At 40.2% G+C, this 5,970-nt stretch overlaps 2 annotated features.

The window, feature by feature from the left end:
• Positions 3,636-4,835: an enhancer, noted in NCBI's record as "MED14-independent group 3 enhancer chr12:38778512-38779711 (GRCh37/hg19 assembly coordinates)". NCBI's record gives its function as "activates an origin of replication core promoter dependent on BRD2, BRD4, P300/CBP and CDK7 cofactors, and independent of MED14, by STARR-seq in HCT116 cells {active_cell/tissue: HCT116}" and the evidence as "EXISTENCE:reporter gene assay evidence [ECO:0000049][PMID:35650434]".
• Positions 3,681-4,228: an enhancer, noted in NCBI's record as "H3K27ac-H3K4me1 hESC enhancer chr12:38778557-38779104 (GRCh37/hg19 assembly coordinates)". NCBI's record gives its function as "activates a minimal SCP1, AML or CMV promoter by ChIP-STARR-seq in primed H9 embryonic stem cells {active_cell/tissue: H9 hESC(primed)}" and the evidence as "EXISTENCE:reporter gene assay evidence [ECO:0000049][PMID:30033119]".

The following is a 5,970-nucleotide window of genomic DNA, read 5'->3' on the forward strand; positions in this document are numbered from 1 at the left end:
CTTGCACTGGGCTTCACCTTTCTCTGGTGCCTCCCTGATTAGCTTAATAACTAACCTCCCGAATTATTTTTCAGGTAAATTAAGGATTTCTTCTTGGTTTGGATCCATTGCTGGTGAACCAGTGTGATTTTTTGGGGGTGTTGAAGAGTCTTGTTTCGTGATATCACCAGAGTCAGTTTTCTGGTGTCTTCTCATTTGTGTAGGCTCTGTCAGGGGGAAGGTCTAGGGCTGAAGTCTGTTGTTCAGAATATTTTGTCCCATGGGGTGTTCCCTTGATGTAGAACTCTCCCCCTTTTCCTGTGGATGTGGCTTCCGGTAAGCCAACCCGCAGTGATTGTTGTCTCTCTTCTGGTTCTAGCCACCCAGCATGTCTACCTGTCTCCGAGCTGGTACTGGGGTTTGTCTGCACAGAGTCCTCTATTGTGAACTGTCTATAGGTCTCTCAGCCATGGATACCAGTGCTGGTTCTGGTGGAGGTGGCAGAGGATGCCATGGCATGAGAGTCCTTAGCTTTGGTGGTTTACTGCTCTGTTTTTTTAAAAAAACGTATTACTTTAAGTTCTGGTATACATGTGCTAAACATGGAGGTTTATAATATAGGTATACATATACCAAAGTGGTTTGCTGCACCTATCAACCCATCATCTAGGTTTTAAGTCCTGCATGCATTAAGTATTTGTTCTAATGCTCTCCCTCCCCTTTCACCCAACCACCCGACAGGCCCCAGTGTGTGATGTTCCCCTCCCTGTGTCCATGTGTTCTCATTGTTCAACTCCCACTTATGAGTGAGAACATGCAGTGTTTGGTTTTCTGTTCCAGTCTTAGTTTGCTGAGAATGATGGTTTCCAGCTTCATGTATGCCCCTGTAAAGGACATTAACTAATCCTTTTTTATGGCTGCGTAGTATTCCATGGTGTATATGTGCCACATTTTCCTTATCTAGTCTACATTGATGGGCATTTGGGTTAGTTCCAAGTCTTTGCTGTTGTGAATAGTGCTGCAATAAACATATGTGTGCATGTGTCTTTATAGTAGAATGACTTATAATCCTTTGGGTATATACCTAGTAATCAGATTCTTGGGTCTAATGGTATTTCTGGTTCTAGATACTTGAGGAATTGCCACACTGTCTTCCACAATGGTTGAACTAATTTACACTCTCACCAACAATGTAAAAGCATTCCTATTTCTCCCCATCCTCGAGGCATCTGTTGTTTCCTGACTTTTTAATAATCACCATTCTAACGGGTGTGAGATGGTATCTCATTGTGGTTTTGACTTGCATTTCTCTAATGACCAGTGATGATGAGCTTTTTTTCATATGTTTGTTGACCACATTAATGTTCTCTTTTGAGAAATGTCTGTTCAAATCCTTTGCCCACTTTTTGATAGAGTTGTTTTTTTTTCATGTAAATTTGTTTAAGTTCCTTGTAGACTCTGGATATTAGGCCTTTGTCAGATGGATAGATTGCAAAAATTTTCTCCCATTCTGTAGGTTGCCTGTTCACTCTGAGGATAGTTTATTTTGCTGAGAAGAAGCTCTATAGTTTAATTAAATCCCACTTGTCAATTTTGGCTTTTGTTGCAATTGCTTTTGGTTTTTTAGTTATGAAGCCTTTGTCTATGCCTATGTCCTGAATGGTATTGCCTGAGTTTTCTTCTAAGGTTTTTATGGTTCTAGGCTTTACATTTAAGTCTTTAATCCATCTTGAGTTAATTTTTGTATAAGGTTTAAGGAAGGGATCCTGTTTCTGTTTTCTGTATATGGCTAGCCAGTTTTCCCAACACCATTTATTAAATAGGCAATCCTTTCCTCATTGCTTGTTTTTGTCAGATTTTTTGAAGATCAGATTATTGTAGATGTGTGGTGTTATTTCTGAGGCCTCTGTTCAGTTCCATTGGTCTATATGTCTGTTTTGTTACGAGTACCATGCTTTTTTGGTTACTGTAGCCTTGTAGTATAGTTTAAAGTCAGGTAGTGTGATGCCTCAAGATTGCTCTTTTTGCTTAGGAGTGTCTTGGCTGTACAGGCTCTTTTTTGGTTCCACATGAAATTTAAAGTAGTTTTTTCTAGTTCTGTGAAGAAAGTCAGTGGTAGCTTGATGGGAATAGCATTAAAACTATAAATTACTTTGGGCAGTATCGCCATTTTCACAATATTGATTCTTCCTATCTATGAGCATGGAATGTTTTTCTATTCGTTTGTGTTCTCTCTTATTTCCTCGAGCAGTGGTGTTTATAGTTCTCCTTGAAGTGGTGCTTCATGTCACCTATAAGTTGTGTTCCTAGGTATTTTATTTTCTTTGTAGCAATTGTGAATGGGATTTCACTCATGACTTGGCTCTCTGCTTGTCTATTACTGGTTTATAGAAATGTTTGTGATTTTTGCACATTGATTTCGTATCCTGAGACTTTGCAGAAGTTGATTATCAGCTTAAAGAGTTTTGGGGCTGAGATGATGGGATTTTCTAAATTATGATCATGTCATCTGCAAATAGAGATAATCTGAGTTTTCCTCTTCCTATTTGAACACACCTTGTACCTTCTCTTGCCTAGTTGCTCTGGCCAGAACATACAATATTATGTTGAATAGGAGTGGTGAGAGAAGGCAGAAATAATGAAGTTTTTTGAAACCAGTGAAAACAAAGAGATAACATACCAGAATCTCTGGGATACAGCTAAAGCAGTGTTTAGAGGGAAATTTATAGCACTAAATGCCCACATCAGAAAGTGGCAAAGATCTAAAATCAACAACTTATCATCACAATTAAAAGAACTAGAGAAGCAAGAACAATTTCAAAAGCTAGCAGAAGACAAGAAGTAACTAAGATCAGAGTAGAACTGAAAGAGACACAAAAACCCCTTCAAAAAGTCAATGAATCCAGGAGCTGGTTTTTTTAAAAAGATTAACAAAATAGATAGACCACTAGCCTGACTAATAAAGAAGAAAAGAGGAAGAGTCAAATAGACACCATAAAAAATGATAAAGGGGATATTACCTCTGATCCCACAGAAATACAAACTAGCATTAGAGAATGCTAAAAACACCTCTATGCAAATAAATAGGAAATCTACAAGAAATGAATAAATTCCTGGACACATACACCCCCCACAAGACTAAACCACGAAGAAATCGAATCCCTGAATAGACAAATAAAAAGTTTTGAAACTGAGGCAGTAAATAATAGCCTACCAACCAAAAAAACCCCAGGACCAGACAGATTCACAGCTGAATTCTACCAGAGGTACAAAGAGGAGCTGGTACTATTCCTTCTCAAACTATTCCAAACAATAGAAAAAGAGGGACTCCTCACTAACTCATTTTATGAGTCTAGCATCATCCTGATTCCAAAACCTGGCAGAGACACAACAAAAAAAGAAAATTTTAGGCCAAGATCCCTGATGACCATCAAAGCAAAAATCCTCAATAAAATACTGGCAAACCTAATCCAGCAGCACATCAAAAAGCTTATCCAACATTATCAAGTCAGCTTCATCCCTGGGATGTAAGACTCGTTCAACATACGCAAATCAATAAACATAATCCATCACATAAACAGAACCAATGACAAAACCACATGACTATCTCAATAGATGCAGAAAAGGCCTTTGATAAAATGCAACACTCCTTCATGCTAAAAATCTCTCAATAAACTAGGTATTGATGGAACGTATCTCACAATAATAAGAGCTATTTATGAGAAACCCACAGCCAATATCATACTGAATGAGCAAAAGCTGGAAGCATTCCCTATTTGAATGCCTTATTTTTATGCTGGTTGACCTCCTGCCAGGAGGTGGCGCTTTCCAGAAAGTATCAGCTGTAGTGGTGTGGGGAGGGATTGTCAGTGGGTGGGGCTCTAGAACTCCCAAGATTAAATGCCCTTTGTTTTCTGCTACCAGGGTGGATAGGGAAGGACCATCAGGTGGGGGTGGGGCTGCGGTTTCTGAGCTCACACTCTCCTTGGGTGGAGAGTCTGTGGTTGCTGTGGGGAATGGGGGTGAGATTCCCAGGTCACTGGAGTTGTGTACCTAGCAGGATTATGTCTGCCTCTGCTGAGTCATGCAGGTTATCCGGGAAGTAGGGGAAAGCCTGCAGTCACAGGCCTCACCCAGCTCCCATGCAAACTGAGGGGCTGGTCTCACTCCCACCGTGCCTCCCGAACAGTTCCAATTCCGTTTCCAGGTGGAGGGTGAGAAGGGCTTGAAAACTTGCCGGAGGCTTTGCACTTCCCAGCTGCGAAAGAAAAGGGCTTTAGTTCTTCCCCCTGCCTGTGAAGTCTGCACACCAGATTTACGCCCTCCCCCAGCTTCTGGCCGGGAGGCTTCTTGCCCCATTCAAATTGTTACCAAGTTCGGCTAGAGAATTCCTTCTCCCTGTGGAGTTTTATCCCCTGCTCCTCTGGCCACCCTCCTGAGGGATCCCTGTGATGCCAGGCAGTATTGGGCTGCTTGGGGACCCAGTGAGATCCTAGGGCCTCTCCACTGCCTCCTCCACCCCACCCTGTATTTTGCTTGGCTTTGATCTCTAACTTGACTGAGCTCCAGGTAAAGTCGGGAATTTCTCCTACAAGCAGACCTTCAAGTTCTGCAGTGGGGGTGTGTGTTTGTGCAGGAGTGTCTCCCTTTCCCACTTTTGCAATTGGGGCACTCACAGTATTTGAGATGTCTCCCAGGTCCTGGAGGAGCAGTCTGCTTCCTTCAGAGGGTTTATGGGTCCTCTTAAGATTGCTGTTTTGTTCTTGCAGGTGATCTGGATTATGCAAGAACAAAATGCATGCTGCTCTGTCTGGAGCTGCAGTCTAGCCCTGCCTCTCGTCCACCATGATCCCTCAAGCCTCCCAGCATGGAATTATACTTTATATCATACACAAAATTAATTCAAAATGAATCAAAGACCAAAATTTAGGAGCTATAATTATTAAGCTATTAGACAAAAAATAGGTATAAATCTCCATGAACTTGGGTTAGTCAATGTTTCCTTAGATATGACACCAAACGTGAAAGCAACACAATAAAAAAATTAGATAAATTGGGCACCATGAAAATTAACATTTTTGTGCACAAAAGATAACATCAAGAAAATCAAATGACTATCCACAAGATGAAAGAAATTTTTGGCAAATCCTATCTCTGACAAGGAATGCTTACAACTTAAGAAGAAAAAGACATAAAAGCCAAATTGTAAAAGGGCAAAGGGTCTTTATAGAAATTTCTCCAAAGAATGTATGCCAGTGTCCAATGAACACAGGAAAAGATGGTCAACACCATTAGTCATCAGAAAAATGTAAATAAAAACTACAAGATATTACTTCACACTACTATGTCTTCAGTCAAGAGACAGATAATAGGAGTTGGCAAGCATGTAGTGACGTTGGAACCATTATACACTACTAGTAAGAATGTAAAATGGTACTACTTTAAAAAACAATCTGACAGTTTCTCAAAAGGTTAAACATAGAATTACCATATGACTCAGTATTTCCATCTCTCGGTATCTATCCAAGAGAAATGAAAACCTATGTCCACACAAAAACTTGTACATGAATATTCATAGCAGCATTATGCAAAAAAAGTGAAAAAACTAAATGTCTATCAATTGATTAAAGAAATAGATAAATAAAATGTGGTAAGTCTATACCATGGGATGTTATTGGGCAATAAAAAGAATAACAAAGGGACTTCCAGTTTCTGTTTCCATTTGAAAGGAACTGAAAGTTGTCACTCTGTTTTAACAAGTAAAAAGTTGGAAAAAAAAAAAACTGAAAAATCAACTCTGCTTAGATCCATAAGAGAAGTGAGGTGGCAGGGCAAACCACTGCGCCCAAAATTCAGGCAGGATTACTAATGGGTCAGCACCTTCAGGAATGAACGTGTGGATCACCCTGTCATGCATAGAATCACACCAACTGAGGTCCTTGCAGAGAGCAAAGGGAATATGGAATAGGTAGCAGAAAAGGGTAGTTAGAA

This window comes from Homo sapiens, chromosome 12 (genome assembly GCF_000001405.40).
Source record: "Homo sapiens chromosome 12, GRCh38.p14 Primary Assembly".
In the NCBI taxonomy this organism is placed as follows: Eukaryota; Metazoa; Chordata; class Mammalia; order Primates; family Hominidae; genus Homo; species Homo sapiens.